Consider the following 20,832-nt stretch of genomic DNA (forward strand, 5'->3'; position numbering starts at 1 on the left):
TCTCTATACTATACATACATGTTACAATATATGTAAGTTACAATACATACAAACTCTACTCAATGTATAACATGAAAAAGCTGTAACTATTGTAATCTCTGGGTTTAGCTGACATCTTCTTGGATCTCTGAATTGTGTTTTAATTTTCAACTCTAACACTACACTGACAACCAAGCAATTTTAATCACTCAGTTTTAAAGGGTTAACTCCAGAAATAGTTTTGAAAAGGACAAAATATAACCAAACAATGATACCCATGATATCTGATATACCTCATGTCTAATGCCATCCTTCAATATGTAGATGGCCTTATAAAGCATACACTTTACCTTAAACACTAAATGCATTGCCAGAATTGTGATTAATCATGTAAATAACCACAGCTGTATTTGCTTCAATGTGTATGCCTCCAGATGTGTACTGGTTTAAAAAAAAAAAAAAACCCTACATTTTAAAAAGTCAGAATTGGAAATAACCAGTAACAGATGCCTAATACATAAGTTTCTAGCAATTCTTATTTTAGACGTTGTCCCAAATTGGGCTTTCTTCACTTTGGCTAGTTGAGAATTACATCTGTGACTAGCTTTAAATTTAAAAAATCTGAGCTATCCAAGATCTAAGACATACTTCACCTAAGTATCACCTTGACATTTAAGTACAAAAAGAATCTTCTTTCAACTTAGAAAATTCTTTTAATACTTACTTTCCCCTACTCTGCAACATACATTTCCAAATTTCTGAAAGGCATGAAATATAGCATTTTTGAGAAAAGTAAAAAGGAAATCCCACTCATACTAAATAGGGTTGCAAATGTTCTATTCTACACCAATTTTCAAGAGTATCGAATTCTTATTCCATAAAAATAAAGGTATTCTGAACATAAACAACCTAATCTCCAACCAAGTTTCTTCAAATACAAAACATGCAAGTATATACAGAACATTACATGAAAAGAAAAATACTAAATTGAACATTCACCATCTTAGGTGTGTGTAAAAGAGAAGAGCAATACTTACAAACAGCATCACTATACTCATGAGTATGATAATGAAGCCACACCATATCCAGTGATTCTGAGATAAATTTACAAGTGTTCCTGCTGAGGGTGTATGAAACAAATTATTTTTTTTGAAAATTTCACTTCTGTAGGTTATCATAATGCAAACACCCGTATACCCTGCAGATCTAATGTCTAGTCAGTGACTAAGAAATCAATACGTAGCACGGCACCACTTTGCTACTATATTTTCTCTAACAAGGACCAAAACTGTTAGTGGAGAACTTCAAACAAAAAGCAAGTCATAAACAATGTTTTTATTGGCAGGCTGTTGGTGAGCTTTCAGTTGTGGCAGAGTCTGAAACAAAGGATCAAAATAACTTCATAATCATTCATAACTATTCTTACATTTTTTAAAAAGGAAATCCAAACCCAATTATTTTCATCAACAATTAAAAAAAATATAAGTCTGGCAGAATGGTTCCACTTTGTTGGTTCTCTTTGTTGATTTGGGATTTTTTTTACTTTAAGTTCTGGGATAGATGTGCAGAATGTACAGGTCCGTTACATAGGAATACATGTGCCACAGTGGTTTGCTGCACCCATCAACCCATCACCTAGGTTTTAAGTCCCACACGAATTAAGTATTTCTCCTAATGCCATCCCTCCCCTTGCTTCCCACCCCGACAGGCCCAGGTGTGTGATGTTCCCCTTCCTGTGTCTACTATGTGTTCTCATTGTTCAACTTCCACTTATGAGTGAGAACATGCGGTGTTAGGTTTTCTGTTCTTGTGTTAGTTTGTTGACAATGATGGTTTCCAGCTTCATCCATGTCCCTAAAAAGGACAAGAACCCATCCTTTTTTATGGCTGTATAGTATTGCACAGCGTATACGTGCCACCTTTTCTTTAACCAGTCCGTCACTGATGGCCATTGGGATCGGTTCCAAGTCTTTGCTATTGTGAATAGTGCTTCAATAAACATTCATGTGCATGCGTCTTTATAGTAGAATGATTTATAATCCTTTGGGTATAACCCAGTAATGGGATTGCTGGGTCAAATGGTTATTTCTAGTTCTAGATCCTTGCGGAATCACCACATTGTCTTCCACAATGGTTGAACTAATTTACACTCCCACCAACAGTGTAAAAGCGTTCCTACTTCTCCACATCCTCTCCAGCATAAATTTTTAAAAATGTATTTGTTTTTTCTTTCGCTTCCTGAACCTGGTAGATTTGTGGCTTTAATTTTAATTCCATAAAATTTACAAAAACCATTACTCTCATCTTTTCCAAGCCCTTATGCCCTAGATTCATCTCATCTTGGTACCCTCATTCTGATCTACCCTTCAAATTACTGAGTCAAGGGTATCCAATCTCAACTTCACCATGCATATTCTTAAGACACGCATGGGCAAAATCACAACCCCAGATTTCTTCTTATTCTCAACACCCCATATCAAACTAGTTGCTAATGCTTCATCACTTCTACCTCCCTTACTGTTGTGGCATCATTCTCTTCACTTCATTTCTAATAATAATTTATTTCGCCCTTAGTCCTCACCTGAGTTATTTCGACAATCTGCTAATTAACCTCCCTGACTCTAGTCTTTCTATCTTTTCAAATTAATTCTGCTGGGTTAATGTTTCAGCATATTGCCTAAAGGAAACTTACACATATCACTGTCATAAGCAAAACAAACAAAACATTTTAAAAACCACTTCTCATCTAGTTAATTAAGGATTAAGTCCAAACTGGTCAGAGGCTTAAAGCTTTCCATGCTGAGGCCACAAACCACCTGCATTTGCAACTACTATTTCATAAGCAAATACAATATACATACACATTTATTTTTCACTTCAAAGCACCTACACCTTTTCCCTTCTTTTGAAAACCCCTTTCCTACGTTTCTTTTGAAAGCCCTGTTCAAAGGTTGCTACCTCGCACTGTACATAACTGGAAGTAATCTGTTTCTTTTGAACTGCTGTTGCACTTTACTATCAGTTGAAGGAAACCAAATTACATCTTACTCAGAAGCCCAACAGGTAAGAGAAACAAAGGCAATGTTGCTATGGTTTAATTGGTGGTAGGGAGAAAAGGGCTTTGAGTCCCACCCCAGGATAAACACTTCCAAAATACTAAAGCACTCTAGCTTGGTGTTAAAACCACTGATTCTTCTCTCCCTTAACTACTACTTACTAAGTTCAAAGACAAATATCTATAGAAGTCAAATTTGCTTCAAGACAGCCTCTAATTAACTGTGACCTTGGGTAAATTAAATTTTTCTGATCCCTAGGTATAAAACTTATACCTCAAAGAGCTATGAAGACTCAATGACACTGTGTATGTAAAGCACTTAGTACTGATAAATGGCAGCTAATACCATTCTCTCTGTACTTTTCAGTACCAGATTTATAGGAAACACTCAACAAATACATGTCAAATGAATAAATCCTTTATTACATACATGCTAATCACTGGAAAGGCAATTTGTGGGATGAGAGAGGTGAGTAGAGAAACATGTCCTAGAATATAAACAATACAATTTCCACCAAACATTACATGTACACCAGAGTACACAACCAGACAAAGGATTAAGGATATTTGGTAAATTTTAAATACTTATGAAGAAGAGTACACTCATCCCTCGGTATACTCGGGGTACTTGTTCCAGGACAGCCCAAGTATACCCAAATCTATGTATATTCAGGTCCCATGGTTAGCCAAGTGGTAGTCAGCCCTCTCTACAGGTGGGTTCCATATCCTGTGAATATCGTACTTCCTTTTCCCATTTAGTTGAAAAAAATCTGTGTATAAATGGACCCTCACACTTCAAACCATGTTGTTAAAGGGTCAACTGTATACAGTTTTTGAAACTTATTTTCCTCTCAATGTTTTCGCAGTTCATCACATCTTTCAATGAGTAATGTTTAACAAACAAGTAGTAACATTAAACACTACTTAAACCACAATTGCTTACTGCTTGCTCATTCCATAGAACCAATGAAATAGCTAACCAAATAGTTTTTCAAAGAGTTTTTCAGTGTTTAATATCCTGGTTCACACCTCTCACTATCCCTTCCCAAGCACCAGCATCTTGATTTGGGGGTTTTTCATTCCAATCTGTATATACCCCTAAATAATGTATGTTACTATTTTATGTGTCTTTCTATGAATAACCACATTATTAAGTACTTGTGGAAAAACATTTAATGGCAATTTTTTTAAATTTACAAGTTTCTAATACTGCAAAATAAATCAATTATCAAATAATTCACAAATTTAACAAGCTTAATTTTGAATATATTCAAAATTACTAAATACATGTCAGACACAGCTCAAATTCTAAATAAATATTAAACATCATCCAAAATCCAAACTCCTAAGTACATTAGAGGGGAGAGAAAAAAGGAGACTAATGTTTACTGAATACCAACTTTGTGCCAGACTCTGTTTACATATGTATCATTGTTCTGGACTAAATCTTTGTACCCTGGCCCCCCAAAACCCCCCCAAAAATTCTTATGTTGAAGCCCTCATCCTCAATATGATGGTATTCGGGAGGTAATCAGGATTGAATGAGGTCTTGCGGGTAGGGCTCCCATGATGGGATTAGTGCCTTAAGAGACACCAGAGAGCATGCACTCTTTCATTCTGCCACAAGAGAACACAGCACAAAGGCAGCCTTGTGCAAGGCAGGAAGAGTGGCCTCACCAAGAACTGTATCGACCTACACTTTAATCTTGGACTCCACAGCCTCCAGAATGGGTGAGAAAATAAATCTCTGATGTTTAAGCCACCCAGTCTATGCTATTTTGTTATGGTAGCCCAGGCCAACCATTACAATAATGTAATTCTTTCATGACTCTAATAAATATTATTAGCCATATATTACAGATAATGAAATTGAGGATTAAGATGGTAACAGCTCAGAGAAAAACATAATGGTTAATCTTACTTAAAAAAATCAATCCAAATCAAAATGATACAATTTTATTTTTCATTCATGAGGTCAGTAATGACTAACATGTTTACTATCTAGTGTAGCAAGCTTATGAGGGAAAAGGTGAACTGTAGATGAAAACATAAATTGGCATAACCCTTCTCAAAGGCAATTTGAGAGTATCTGTCAAAATTTAAGATATGCCAGGTCTAAGATGAGGTGTCTAAGCCCAAGTAGAGCAAGGAGGGCATTCCTGGAGAGGGGCAGCATGGTGTGGCTGGTGTGTCAGAGCCTGGACAGAACGAAGTCACCCACACTAGAGGATGGGAGGGTGGCCTGGCATAAAATGTGGAGCCCAAGTTGGGCAAGAAGGGCACCTGTTGGGGGCAGCAAAGATTGGTTAGGAAGGGGGATGACCAAATAGACAATACATTGAAGATAATGGAAGCCAGGTTTCTCACTATTGGAGAAGGGAATAACAAATGTAGAAAGGGAAAAAACTAGAATGAATCCAGTGGTGTTGAACTGCAATTGGAGACATCTGTGTGAACCCATGGTTTTATACATACACACACACACACACTCCTGTACATCCCTAGTTCCTTCCACTTAGAGGGTCTGGGAGCAGGAATATCCCAAATGCAATAAACATAAGCAAAGTGAAGACCCTGCATTCTAAATACCATTCTCCACTAAAAAGAAATCACATTGGAGCAACGGCTGATTTCACATATAAAATTAGTTTGGAATACACCTTGTGCCAGAATGCTAGGAAATGCACAAAGAATAATGGAGACATGGCAAAAGGACACAGAAGACAGCCTGAAGGAGTTCTGCATGTTCAAATATGGGACAATCTGAGAATCCAAATAATAGTTACAAATTATAACCTACTGAGTCAGAATCCACTAGTCCACACTGCTATACATTTTTTAAAAGATGAACAAGTTACAAGTTTGATGATCACTGGAATACTGTATTTACATAGTTTCAAAGTCCCTCCCCCAAAACTGCCTATTAGGAAGGGAAAATTAGTAACCTAACAATGGAAAGGCCTAACAAACACCACCTTAATAGTGATTGAAGTGAACATCCCCAGTAATGGAACAAATGAGAATAATGTTCCACCTAAAAAGATGTCATTAGAACAGAGCACCAGGACTACAATGTAGAACTTCTATCATGAGGAAATAGGCACAGGTGAGGAACATTCTACAAAATATCTGGCCTGTAGTCTTCTAAAGTGTGAAAATCATTAAAGTTAAAGACAAACAGGAAATGCTCTAGACTAAGGAAGACTAAAGAGACAGGACAAGATAATGTAATCCAGGACTCTATAGTAAGACATTATTGAGACAATGGGAGAAAGCTGAAAGTGATCTGTGGGTTAGATCATACAGGTTGAGTATCCCTTATTCAAAATGCTTGAGACCAGAAGTGTTTCAAATTTTGTATTTTTTTGAATTTTGAAATACTTGCATTATATATTTACAACTGGGCATCCCAAATCCCCTAATCTGAAATTTCATGTTGGTACTCAGAAAGTTTGAGATTCCGGAGGATTTCAGATTTGGGATGCTCAACCTATAGTAATGCATCAGTGCGTTAATTTCCTGATTTTGATGGTTGTCTTGTGACTATGTCCTTGTAGGAAATACACATTAAAATACTCAGGAGTGATGGCCATCAGGTTGGCAACTTATTCACAAATGGTTTAGAGAAAAATGTTTGTACTGTACTTTCAACTATTCTGTAAGTTTGAGATTATTTCAAAATAAAAATTATATTATAAAAAATGAGTCTGCCAATTCAATTTGGCAATTCTTCTCTAGGAGTTTATCTTATAGATTAGCACACACACAAAAAGATGTAAACATATTCATTATCTGTAACAGAAAAAAAACAACAAAACCCAAGCAACAAAAACCCTAAAGCTATAAGGTTATTCACTGCAGCATATTCCATTTTTTTTTTTTCTTTTAAAGGCCAGGTGCAGTGGCTCACCTGTAATCCCAGCACCTGGGAAGACTGATGGGAAGACTGCTGAGGCCATTAGTTCAGTACCAGCCTGGGCAACATAACGAGACCAAATCTCCACAAAAAATTTGAAAGAACAAATTAGGTGAGATGGCACATGCCTGTACTCCCAGCTACTAGGGAGGCTGATAGGGAGGCTGAGACAGAGGATCACTCAATCCCAGGAGTTCAAGGCCGTAATAATCTGTGACAGCGCCACTGTACTCCAGCCTGGGTGACAGAGCACCAGAGCAAGACCTTGTCTCTTAAAAACACACACACACACACACACACACACACACACACACACATACATAAAAGAACCAAAGAAAAAACCCTAATATCTATCAAGAAGGGACTAGTTAAATAGACTATTTAAGATGAACACAATGAGGGCATGAGGTAGATTTTTATATTGATGCAAAAATGTACCTGAGATACATTAAATAATAAAAATCAAGTAGGAGGAAATAGTATATATCGTATGTCTTCTGTGTATGTATTTAAAGGATACATACAAACAAGTACAATTTATAAATACATTCTGGAAGGATACTAAAGAAAAAAACATTTAACGTTGGTTATCACTGGGACATAAATAACTTTTTTGGGGAATTGTAGAGGGAAACTGTGTTTTTACTTTTTAATTTATACTCTCATTAAGTTTAAATTTTTACCATAAGCGGTTACTTATACAATTATCCTATATAATATACTACAAAAATATTTTAAAGAGGAAGTTAAGTAACTAGCATGAGGTGACTAGCTGAAAGTTTATGAATGGTAGATTTGAACCTAGGCCTAATCCTAGATTCATCATGCTTATTCTATCCTGGGGTTCAAAAACTTTCTTCTTGCACACAATTATCAAAAATGGACATTCAACAGGTACTCTTCGAATCATTATACAGATTACACATTTTTTCTTAAAAATTTTTAGTAACATGAGTTCTCCATTTCTTGCTACCACCATGTAACTAATTCAAATGTTTAATGGTTATGTCCACTATATTACATTTAATAATGCAAAAACAGCAAAAGCCCTTTTTGGCACTAGGTAAACTGACTAGCATGGTGTGTGACATTATCAATACTGGTCACATCTATCTTCTACATTTAAGATTCTAAGGAATCCTCCTATTGAATGTTTAGTCCTGTTGGTATATGCTGTTCACATAAATATTTCTCAATAGCATTTTTCACAGGGCAGTTCTTCCTCGTGCAGGCACAAATATAAAATCCTTGACCTCTACCCACTAAATGCTGGCAGTTTTTCTACACTCCTACCTGTCAAGTCAGTGTGACATCCAAAAACACTCCCTTGGTTAAGAACCACTGTAAGATGTCATACTTTTTAAGGCACAGGTGATAATGCCTCATTTATTCCAGAATGCTGGCAGCATTAGGGGATCACCAGTCTGTTGTCTGCCTCAACAGACAGATTCCCATCATAACACTGTCTTATCCAGAAATTTCTCCAGGGGCCAGAGGGTGGGAAGGTGGGTAGTATTCTGCTCCTGATTTCTTCAGACTATATAGAAATTTCACCTAATACAGAAAAAGTATAGAATACTTAGTATAATATCACTCTTGTAAACGCTATTGCTGCTGCAGGCAAACTCAATTTCATTCTAAATATTCTAAAAAAGCTTCTCTCTCAAAAAAAAAAAAAAAACCCTTTCAATTCTGGCACAGGAAGAGAATAAAAGAATCTAAAGGAGCACTTGTTCTCTTCCCTCTTTTACTCGAATCCACATCTAATTGTCAGAGAAACTAATAAAAATATTTTTTAAAACTCTTTCAATAATTTGATATGGAAAAGTAGTCAACGTTTTAAATAAATTAGGCTGGGCGCGGTGGCTCATGCCTGTAATCCCAGCACTTTGGGAGGCCGAGGCGGGCGGATCACCAGGTCAGGAGATCGAGACCATCCTGGCTAACACCATGAAACCCCATCTCTACAAAAAAAATTAGCCGGGCGTGGTGACGGGCACCTGTAATCCCAGCTACTAGGGAGGCTGAGGCAGGAGAATGGTGTGAACCCAGGAGGTGGAGCTTGCAGTGAGCCGAGATTGCGCCACTGCACTCCAGCCTGGGTGACAGAGCGAGACTCTGTCTCAAAAAAAAAAAAAAAGTTTTAAATAAATTATAGACTACTTCAGTTTTTGACTCTATCACCACCAACCTGACCGTATGATTTGAAAAATGAAATCTTCTCTAGACTTTTAAGTTGCCCTCCGGTCCTAGAATTCTAACCATTTCAAAGCTTCCAAAATCATATCAAAATCAATCACACCCAGGACCTTGAATGTCTTCCTAATAAAGGCTGTTCTAAATCAGTTTAAGTAGTCAAGAAGTTGGAGGCTGTATATCACAAAGATCCTAAATATGATTTTTTACAGCTCCTGCTTAATGACCAGAAGATTACACACCCACCAATTAGAATAATTGTGAGGAAATGCCAATGTAGCACCAATTCACAGGCTATAGAATGGGGGAAAAAATAAAAGCAGCATTTGTACCTTCAGAGACTCCTTCCAGATGTTGCACTTTACATTGAAGGGCTATTGAGAAGAAACTATGCTGACATGGTGCCTCACACCTGTAATCCCAGCACTTTGGGAGGCAGAGGCGGGTGGATCACCTGAGGTCGGGAGTTCAAGACCAGCTTGACCAACATGGAGAAACCCTGTCTCTACCAAAAATACAAAATTAGCCGGGCATGGTGGCACATGCCTGTAATCCCAGCTACACGGGAGGCTGAGGCAGGAGAATCGCTTGAACCCAGGAGGTGGAGGTTGCAGTCAGCCGAGATCGCGCCACTGCACTCCAGCCTGGGCAACAAGAGTGAAACTCCATCTCAAACAAACAAAAAAAAAAAAAAAAAAAAAAAAAGAGAGAGAGAAGAAACAATAAAAATTCCCTTTCCTTAAAATGATTAAATGAACATCCTACCAAACATATTCTTATGCAAGATGGGATGTAGCAACGCCACTCCCAAAAGAAAGACCCACTCCCAAAAGAAAATCTATTAGTCGAACCACCAGTAACGACTTTCATGTGGCAACCTCTATACTCCAAGTTACCCGAGAGTGGATAAAATCCACTTTCTGGAGCACTGACACTCAACAAAGCGTTTGAAAGTAAGATCTGTTATAGACTGCAGAGATGTTCATAGGCTGCCTTAACAACACCAATTTTAATTTGTATCTGTTAGTGAATTTGTCAATGGCATACTTACAAGAAAAATAATTTTCCAAAGTACAGAAAGAACTTGAAAGTAAATCAGGGCATTAATACTTGAAGTGAAAACTCAAATACCAAAAGATTGAAAATAGGTCACTGTTTTAAAGTAATACTTTTCAAACTTTAATGTTTTTTCAAACATCTCTCTTAGGAATCCTGGTAAAGCCCACACTGATTAAGTAGGTCTAGGTTTGAGGAATGATGAGATGCTGCAATTTTAACAGGCTCCCAGGCAATGCCAAGTCTGCTGTTTCATGGATCACATTTTGAATAGTAACAGACTCTAAACCTTGACTAGACCAAAACATGTCGGAAATGTAGATTCTCAGAAAAGAAATAATTCTTTGGTGATATTTTCTGAAGTGTTTTTCTTTTGCTTTTGTTACTCATCAGAACAACTTTCATGAGTAAATATTGAGTGGTTTCACCTTGTGGGATGATTTTCTCACAAATTCAAATTAAGAAAAACCTCTCCAAATCATAAACCAGAGAAGAGAAACTTGAACAAAATAAAGGCATTAAAAATGTTTCTCACTCTAAAATGGAAAGTTTCCTGAATGAATTAATTCTACACATTTATACCTGAAGACAACAAACATTCTGTAAGGAGACCCATAAATGGTCAATTACTTAATGTTAATAAACAAGTCTGTTGTGAGTCTTTTGTCCTTAGAAAGAATAATTTTTTTTTGCTTTTCCTTTTACCTTTTTGTTTTGTTTTACTATATAACTACTGACACTTTGAAAAATTGCTGCTCACATATAAACTTAGAACAAGCACAAACTACACTCGCAAAAGCTGATGAAAGTTGCTGAAAAAAATCAAGTGTACCATCAGGTACATAGTTATCTCTAGATCGTTTTTAAGCAGTCAATTATCAACTAACTACTCATTTTAAATGCGGGTTCATTCATCATTCATTCAACATGCATTTATTGACCACCTACTATGTATCAGGCACTTTGCTAAATGTTACAGATAAAGTTTGGATCAGGGAGTTAGACCTTTCAGATCCTGGCTTGGACATAATGGCAAGTTTTGTTTGTTTGTTTTTCTTTTTGTCTCTAAGCCTCCATATTCTCAAGGTGATAGTGATAATTAGATTATGTAATGCAAATAAAGTGCCTAACATTCCACCCTGTATATGATAATGAAGAATGCTATTTGAAGTATTAAGTTTGAGTAAGAAGTAGATCCTACCTTCAATAGGCCAGCTTTCTACGACACAGCTCTATGTTGGCGGATTATGAAGCAACTTGAAAGCGAGCTAAAGAAAACATGACTGAATAGATAAATCCATTACCAAAACAAAAAACTAAGAATGCCTACAACACATAATTAATTCCAGAACTGAAAAGAAATGTGCTTTGGGTTAGTTTACCAGTTTCTGTAGCATGTACACTAATGTTCTCTTCCACTAAACAAAGTAACAGTACATTATAAATAGAACAAATGTTCCAGCTATGTGGTTTTATGCACAATAGGATCATCATAGGGTATACAACTTGGGACAATTTTAGTGAAGTAGTAATTGCTTGATGCAACAGGATGTGTACCCCATTAACCACAATTCTCTTTCTACCACCTTCAGAAAGTAATCTCCTTTTCTTATAAGGTAAATATTTACAAATCCTACTCATCAACCATCAGCCAATAAAGCAGCCTATTTTGAAAACCTAACTGGCAACAGCAATCTCACAAACAGAAGCAGTACAGCTGAAGTTAAGAGCTTTGGTGTCAATCAGGCCAGGTTTCCCAGTTCCAGTTCTATTATTTCTAACTAGTTATGAGACATCAGAAGGTTTCTTAACCATTCCGAGCTTCAGTTTATCTGAAGAATGGCAATACTGAGGCCTACTTCTTATATTTATGAAAGTGGAATATGCTATTACAAGTAAAGCACTTAGACAAGTTCCTGAAAACAACAGCCACTCAATAAATGTTAGCAATTTGCTATTATCTACAATGAAAAAACCAGGTCTTTAGTTTTGAAGCTAAAAAAAAAAATGTGTAAGGTTTAGGTTCTTTTAAAAAAATATTTTATTTTTGTAGGGACAGGGTCTCGCTATGTTGCCCAGGCTGGTCTTGAACTCCTGACCTTATGTGATCCTCCTGCCTCTTCCTCCCAAACTGCTGCGATTACAGGCGTGAGCCACCACACCCGGCAAGTTTTAGGGTCTTATAAAGCATTAAGTTAGGTCACAGTTAAGTGATCAAAATGGTGAGGAACAGGAATGAGGCAATAATGTGTATTAAGCACCCCGTATCTTACCCTCCTATCCTACTTAATGAGGCTTCATTTGTAACATCCTAAAAGTTAAGCAGCATTGGCGTAACTACTGACAATTCAATTCTGGAAAGGTTTAAAGACAAAGAAAGACTGCTAAAACAAAAAGAAAAGGAGGTTATGTAGACTTGAACTAAGTTTAAGTGGTGAGTAACCCAGGTGAACAGTAAATGGACCAACCATCACAGACGCGGGGCTATGGGTCCAGACTCACGGTGGCTCCTCCCAGTGAGGAAGCCGAAGCCATTGGGCCTCACCAGTGAGTCCCAGCGCAACACCCCAAACCCGAATCTGGGGCGCCACTGAGGGGTGAGCGTTAGCGCCTCGAGTGCCGGCCCTGGGAGTCCAAACTTCCCGCCGGTGCCCCCAGCTGGGCCCGAGCACCCAAGCTACCTCCACACGGAGGCCTGAGTCACCGTTCGCGCGACACAGAAACCGGGGCCCAGCGGTTACCTTCGGCAGGGAACTCTTCAAACTCGTCGTCTTCCTCTAACAGACCTAAGTCTACCGGCTGCTTTTTCTCTGACATCTCGACTGTCCGCGCCCAACACCTCCCAGATAAGCAGAAAAGTTGGAACCCTCACTCTTCCTCAAGGAAACGCCACCGTCACTACCGCCTCCGACGCTGACGCTACCATAGAGACTTGGGGAAAGAATACGGGAGCAGCGCGAGGAATGCTGGGATACTGGAGGTCGGCCCAGCGCTTCCTGCGGGGTTAGCGCTTTTTCCGAGTTGTAGAGGTGATTTTTTTTTTTTTTTTTTTTTGGTCTCTACCTTGTTATTCGGACTCTCTGTATTGCCAAAGTTGAGATCCGTGTAGTTTTCCTGACTATAAGAGACTCATAATGTGTAAAACAAACAAACAAAAAAACCCTTAGTTTGCAACCGAGGAAGGAACTCTAGAGAGACTACAGTGTGACTGCAAACATTCATCAGCCCTTCACATACGTTATTACCTCCAGTCCTTAAGCCAGTTCCCTAAAGGTGGTATTAAATGTCTCCACATCACAGAAAATTCAGGTTCGGTAGGAAGCAGCCGAAGTCACTCAGGTAGTTCTAGACAACCGAAATGCAGATTTTTTTGCCTGGCTCCAATCTCCAGACTTTTCCATTAGGCAGTGTTTATAAGGTCTTAGAATTACTTTGTGGTAAAATAGCTTTTTAAATAGAATTTGTGTGGTGTGTATGTGTGTGTAGTAACTCTGGTTTACAGGTTATTATACAGTAATGCTATTTATGGATTTGTGTAACATTTTATGGTGTTCAAAATATATCATTTAGAATTGTTTGAATAGCATTTGAATATCATTTTGAATACAGTAGTGAACTTCATGGAACTCTATATATAATATATGGATGTATATGGATGAATATTATGGAATATACGTACACAAATTGAGTATTATTGTAAATGTTGATACATGTTCCAGATTATATCTATAAATGCCATTCCTTTATTCAACAATGTAAGGTCATACCGCTTACCAGGAGCTGTGCATCAAACATGTATAGACAAGGTCCCTTTCTTCAAGGAGCTTATATGCTGCTCAGAGACATGTAAACAGATAAATCACAATGAAACACAGTAATCCACTTGAATCTGCATCTTAATATTAGTGAGAAATGAACAGAGTGTTTGGGAATACAGAAAATTGAATAACTAAATGTAGAACAAACTTGGCCAAGAACTACAATTAGATGAAATTTTTAAAAAATGTATCTCTTATACTATTTGATTTATATAGATTACTGAAAATAATGGTATCTCACTACCAAAAAAATTATGTCAGGTAATGCATATCTTATTTAGTGTGATTTAGTCATTATACAATGTATTTGTATTTTAAAACATGTGCTCCCAAATATAGGCAATTTTTATTTGTCAATTAAAATAATTTTTTAAAGAAGGTAAAAAAAAAAAGATTTTGCCAAGGAATCAGAAAACCCAAATTTTAGTTCCTGGACCTATTATTTATTTCATTTGATATATGATGAAGTTTGTATCAATCCTTAGCAAAAGAAAAAAATCAACAGCAATATGGTGATTTTTTCCCCCTAAAACTATATTCAATTTAAAGAGAGATTGTTGATTTAAAAATCAACAATCTTACGTCAAGTTCCACCACCCCTGCCCTTTCTTCCATTGTACTGGTTTGTGAAATCCAGAATGCTGAAACTTAAATAACTTCTTATTTCAGATGAGATGGGGCATGTTCAGGGTGGTACGGCCATAAATGTCATGGCACATGGCACAATGAGCAACTTTGCATTTCAAGGGTCGTGGCACGGGGAATAATTTTGGAAAATGATATTAAGAATACATATTTGCAGACCAGTTTGTATTATAAATCTAGGCTCAGTTCCTTCTAAAGGGGAGTTTAGACAAATTACTTAATTTCTCTGTAATACATTTTGGTTATTCGCAGTCACAGTTAAGATTAAAGGAGATTATGTATATAATGTGCATAGTTCAATGCCTGGCACATAATAAGTGATCAATACATGTTAGCTATTATTAACTAAGGAACTTATATTTTTAAATATTTCATATTCTCCTTGTCAACGCTTAAAGTCTCTAAGTGTGTGTTTTGTTTCCTTGATGATATCTTTTTAATACTTTTTGAGGAAGTCAGTCCCTCTAATAATGTATATTTAGTGTTTACTTTGTATCGGGCACTGGGCTAAACCCATTTTGTGTATTTTCTTATTTAATCCTCCTCTCAACAGCCCTATTTATATGGTTTGCTTCTGTCCTCACCCAAATCCCATCTTGAACTGTAGCTCCCATAATTCCCACATGTTGTGGGAGGGACTCAGTGGGAGGTAATTGAATAATGGGGCGGGTCTTTCCCATGCTGTTCTCCTGATAGTGAATAAGTCTCACAAGATCTGATGGTTTTATAAAGGAGAGTTTCCCTATACAAGCTCTCTTGTCTGCCACCAAGTATGACATGACTTTGCTCCTCATTCACCTTCAGCCATGATTGTGAGGCCTCCCTGGCCATGTGGAACTGTGAGTCAATTAAACCTCCTTCCTTTATAAATTACCTAGTCCCAGGTATGTCTTTATTAGCAGCGTGAGAACAAACTAATACAGTCAGTTGGTACAGGGTAGTAGGGCCCTGCCATAAAGATACCTGAAAATATGGAAGCGACTTTAGAACTGGGTAACAGGCAGAGGTTGGAACAGTTTGGAGGGCTCAGAAGAAGATAGAAAAATATGGGAAAGTTTGGAACTTCTTAGAGATTTGGAGGGCTCAGAAGACAGGAAGATGTGAAAGTTCAGAACTTCCTAGAGACTTGTTGAGTGGCTTTGACCAAAATGCTGATAGTGAAATGGACTATAAAATAAAGTCCAGGCTGAGGTGGTCTCTGATGGAGATGCGGAACTTGTTGGAAACTGGAGTAAAGTTCACTCTTGCTATGCAGAGAGACTGGTCATATTTTATGCCTGCCTTAGAGAACTGTGGCACTTTAAACTTGAGAGAGGTGATTTAGGCTTATCTGGCAGAAGAAATTTCTAAGCAGCAAAGCATTCAAGAGGTGACAAAGCATAAAAGTATGGAACATTTGCAGCCTGATGATGCAGTAGAAAAGAAAAACCCATTTTCTGGGGAGATATTCAAGCTGGCTGCAGAAATTTGCATAAGTAAAAAGGAGCAAAGTGTTAATTGCCAAGACATGGGAAAATCTCTCCAGGACATGACAGAGACCTTCATGGCAGCCACACCCATCACAGACCCAGAGGCCTAGGAGGGAAAAGTGGTTTCATGGTCTGGGCCCAGAGCCCCCCTGCTGTATGCAGCCTCAGGACTTGGTGCCCTGTGTAACCAAGGTACAGTTCAGGCCATGGCTTCAGAGGGTGCAAGCCCCAAGCCTTGGCAGCTTCCACACGGTATTGGGCCTGCAGATGCACAGAAGTCAAGAATTGAGGTTTGGGAACCTCCACCTAGATTTCAGAGGAAGTATGAAAATGCCTGGATATCCAGGCAGAAGTTCACTACAGAAGTGTAGCCCTCATGGAGAACATCTGCTGGGTAGTGCAGAAGGGAAATGTGGGGTTAGAACCCCCACACAGAGTTCCCACTGGGGCACTGCCTTGTGGAGCTGAGAAGACAGCCACCTTCCTCCAGACCTCAGAATGGTAGATTGACCAACAGCTTGCATCGTATGCGTGGAAAAGCTACAGACACTCAACACCACCTTTTGAAAGCAGCCAGGAGAGAGGCTGTACCCTGCAAAGCTACAGAGGCAGAGCTGCCCAAGACCACTGGAACTCACCTCTTGCATCAGTGTGAACTGGATGTGAGACAAGGAGTCAAAGGAGATCATTTTGGAGCATTAAGATTTGACTGCCTCGCAGGATTTTGGACTTGCATGGGGCCTGTAGCTGCTTCATTTTGGCCAATTTCTCCCATTTAGAATGAGTATATTTACCCAATGCCTGTACCTCCATTGTAGCTAGGAAGTAATTAACTTGCTTTTGATTTTACAGGCTCATAGGCAGAAGGGACTTGCCTTTTCTCAGATGAGACTTTGGACTGTCGACTTTTGAGTTAATGCTGAAATGAGTTAAGACTTTGGGGGACTGTTGGGAGGCATGATTTGTTTTAAAATGGGAGGACATGAGATTTGGGAAGGGCCAGGGGCAGAATGATACGGTTTGACTGTGTCCCTACCACATCTTGAATTGTAGCTCCTATAATTCCCACATATTGTGGGAGGGACCCAGTGGGAGGTAATTAAATCATGGATGTGGGTCTTTCCTATGCTGTTCTTGTGATAGTGACTGTGTCTCACAAGATCTGATAGTTTTATGAAGGGGAGTTCCCCTGCACCTGCTCTCTTGTCTGCTGCAATAGATAAGACATGACTTTCCTCCTTATTTGCCTTCAGCCATTATTGTGAGGCCTCCCCAGCTATGTGGAACTGTGAGTCAATTAAATCTCTTTCCTTTATAAATTATTCAGTATCAGGTATGTCTTTATTAGCAGCATGAGAACAGACTAGTACACCTACTGAGTACAATTTAAATCCATTTTATACTTGAGGAACTGAGACTCAGAGAGATTGGTAATGTGGCCAAGGTCATAGTGCTAAGAAGTGGTGAAGCTATTGTATTCTAAGGACTTTCTTAAATGATAGGAAACAAACCATCCTGATGTGCAGAGGCAGACAGTTAACACCAGAACCCCCAGAATCATTTTTTCTCTGACACATGAATGTAGACGGAAGTGCAGAAGGCAAGGAGGTAGAATGAAAAAGAAAATCGAACTCTAGGATTAACGCTCAATGACTCAGAAACTCTCAACAATCTTATGAAAAGCATTTGTAGTCAAAACTATGCCTTCACTTACATATTATATCATATCTGTAATTGATTGAATAGTTTTAACTTTATAGGTAGGAAAACAAGTTAGCAGTATATTTTGTAGTAGATGATTCTGTTTGTCTCTAAATTTTTTTTTTTTTTTTGAGACATTGTCTCACTCTTTTGCACAGGCTGGAGTGCAGTGGCACGATCATGGCTCACTGGAGCCTCAACCACCAGGTCTCTGGTAAGTCTCCCACCTCAGCCTCCCTGATAGCTGTGACTACAGGTTCAGGTCACCATGCCCAGCTAATGTTTTGTAAAGATGAGGTCTCGCCATTTTGCCCAGTCTGGTCTTAAACTCCCAGGCTCAAGCGATCCTACTGCCGTGGCCTCCCAAAGTACTGGGATTACAAGCATATGCCACCATGCCCAGCCTCAAGTAAATTTTTTTCCCTAAAAATTTCATTAGGGATTCTTATGATATTAGTTTTATGACAAATACCTGAATTCTTAAGCAGGCAATGGAGGGACCATTTAGTGACTAGACAGAATGGACTATAACAGGTTGGACTATAACTATAATGGACTATAACAGGTCTGTACAGAAAGGTCAACCTGTTATAGTCCATTCTGTCTAGTTACTAAATGGTCAGTCCATAGCCCACTTAAGAGTTCAGGTATTTGTTATATAACTAATATCATAAGAATCCCTAATGAAACTTTTAGAGAAAAAAAATTTACTTGAGGCTGGGCATGGTGGCATATGCTTGTAATGCCTATCCAAGGAGAAACAGTGAGAGGATATTTAATGGTTGATGTCTAGAGGAAGGACTGATTTCAAAGGCAACTTCAATTTGACTTTGGGAGAGCAGAGCTAACTAGCCATGAAGGGTTGAGGAAGCTGACCTACACCTCAATTTCTAAGACATTCTTTCAGCATATGTAAAAAGCTTGGTCTCCAAATTCATCCTTCCTGAATTTGAATCAGGCTCTACTATTTGCTGGCTGTATCTCTAGGAAATTTCCCTTGTGTGCCTCATTTTTCCAATCTTTGAAATGGAAGTAGTAAAATTACTTTCCTCATAATGTTATTAGGATTAAGTTACTGCATATAAAACTCTCCGGTGCCCAGCATATAGCAAATACACGGTAAGTAATGGTTGTTTGATGTAGAAAGGAGGATGATAATGCTGGTTCCTATCCTCTAGCAATGCATAAGCTTCTTCACAGAAGGGAAGTCGACTATTTCCAACCACTTCTATGCTTGTCATCAAGATATACTGAACATTTGCTGTGCTGAGTAATGGAGCTATCTTTTTATCTGCTTTCTTTAACCTCTAGAACACAACCATTTGCTGTAGCTTCTTATGAGTCTCTAAAGGGCAGGTCCTAGATAATATTATAATAAATCCATAAAGCTGGTCTGCAGCACACTTTCAGGAACTTCCTTTCTCCACCAGGTCACAGCTTTTAGGCAGCTATCAACACCATCATTAAAATTCCACATATATTTGTAATAAATGTAAGTGTAATTCTATTCAGAGAAAAATGAAATTCTAAAAGGGTTGGACAAACCAAGCCATATCAATTTGTAGCACTGGAAATGAATAAGGAAGTGTATAAAGGATGGGACATTAGAAAGTTGTGATTAGGATATCTTTTATAGGAGATTTCTTATTTCATGTAAATGTATAGCTGTCTGTTCAAATTTTCATTCTTTCTGGACCTTTAAAATATACTCACTTTCTCCTGAAACAGATCTTAAAATTAAGGATCTTTAAGAAAAGTGGACTCTAACAATGCAGGCAGATTCTGGATACTTGCAGCCAGCTCTAAAGCCCATTGTGATATACATTTGGGTTTATTATTATCATTGTGGTAAGAAGACTTAACATAAGATCTACCCTCTTCCATTTTTGAGTGCACAATACAGTACTGTTAACTGTAGGCACTATATTGTACAGCATATCTCTAGAACTTATTCATTTTGTATAACTGTAGCTTTATAACCATTGAATAGCAAATCCCCATTTCCCTGTCCCCTAGTCCCTGGCAACTACCATTCTGTTCTCTGTTTCTATTATTTGAACTATTTTGGATCCTGCATTTAAGTGAGATCGTGCATTATTTGTCTCTTCTGACTGGCTTATTTCACTTAGCATAATATCCTCCAGATTCATTCATGTTGTTGTGTTTTACTTTTTTATACAGTTGTATATAGCAGGATTTCCTTTTTTGAGGCTAAATAATATTCCATTGTGTATATATACCACATTTTCTTAATCCATTCATTAGTTGATGGGCATTCAGATTATTTCTATATGTTGGCTATTGCAAATAATACTACAATAACACTACATATTCATGGAAGTACAGATATCTCTTTGAGAGCCTGATTTCAATTTCTTTAGATATATACCCAGAAGTGGAATAATTCGATCATATGGTTGTTCTGTTTTTAATTTTCTAAGGAAACTCCATACTGTTTTCCATAGAGGCTGCACCATTTTTAGACTTCCATCAACATCACACAAGGGTTCCAGTTTCTCCACAACCTCACCAACACTTACCTTATTTTTTTTTATAATAGCCATTCTAACAGGTATGACATAATATCTCATTGTTGTTTTGATTTACATTTTCCTGATGAGTAGTGAGGTAGAGAATCTTTTCATATACCTTTTTGTCATTTGTATGTCTTCTTTGGATGAATGTTTATTCCAATCATTTGCCAATTATTTAACTGGGATATTTGGGTTTTTGTTTTGCTTTGTTTTGTTTGCTGTTGTGTTATAGAAGTTCCTTATGTGTATTTGATATTAACCCCTTATGAGATAAATAGTTTGCAAATATTTTTTCCCATTCCATAGATTGGCCTTTCATTCTGTTTCCTTGGCTGTCGAGAAGCTTTTGAGTTTGATATAGTCCCACTTGTCTATTTTTACTTTTGGGATATTCAAAAAATAGTTTTTAGACCAATATGAGGAAGCTTTCCTCCTGTTTTCTTTTAGGAGTTTTACAGTGTCC

The 20,832-nt window shown here is 37.9% G+C and overlaps 1 protein-coding gene across 17 annotated transcripts in view, besides 2 other annotated features; it reads right to left on the reverse strand.

Moving 5' to 3' along the window:
- Positions 1-13,102, reverse strand: part of SEM1 (SEM1 26S proteasome subunit) — a 228,221-nt gene extending 215,119 nt beyond the window's left edge. For all 17 annotated transcript variants that reach the window (NR_163951.1, NR_163953.1, NR_163950.1 and 14 more), the window contains exon 1: positions 12,944-13,102. Coding sequence is in view for 10 of the 17 variants with exons in the window: in NM_001393904.1 (NP_001380833.1) it covers positions 12,944-13,019 (76 nt within the window). In the remaining 7 variants the exon portion in view is untranslated. The remainder of the gene's footprint in view (positions 1-12,943) is intronic.
- Positions 12,917-13,116: an enhancer, noted in NCBI's record as "active region_26297". NCBI's record gives its function as "activates an Ori minimal core promoter by ATAC-STARR-seq in GM12878 lymphoblastoid cells {active_cell/tissue: GM12878}" and the evidence as "EXISTENCE:reporter gene assay evidence [ECO:0000049][PMID:35858748]".
- Positions 13,287-13,376: an enhancer, noted in NCBI's record as "active region_26298". NCBI's record gives its function as "activates an Ori minimal core promoter by ATAC-STARR-seq in GM12878 lymphoblastoid cells {active_cell/tissue: GM12878}" and the evidence as "EXISTENCE:reporter gene assay evidence [ECO:0000049][PMID:35858748]".

Source organism: Homo sapiens, chromosome 7 (genome assembly GCF_000001405.40).
Source record: "Homo sapiens chromosome 7, GRCh38.p14 Primary Assembly".
Lineage (NCBI taxonomy): Eukaryota > Metazoa > Chordata > Mammalia > Primates > Hominidae > Homo > Homo sapiens.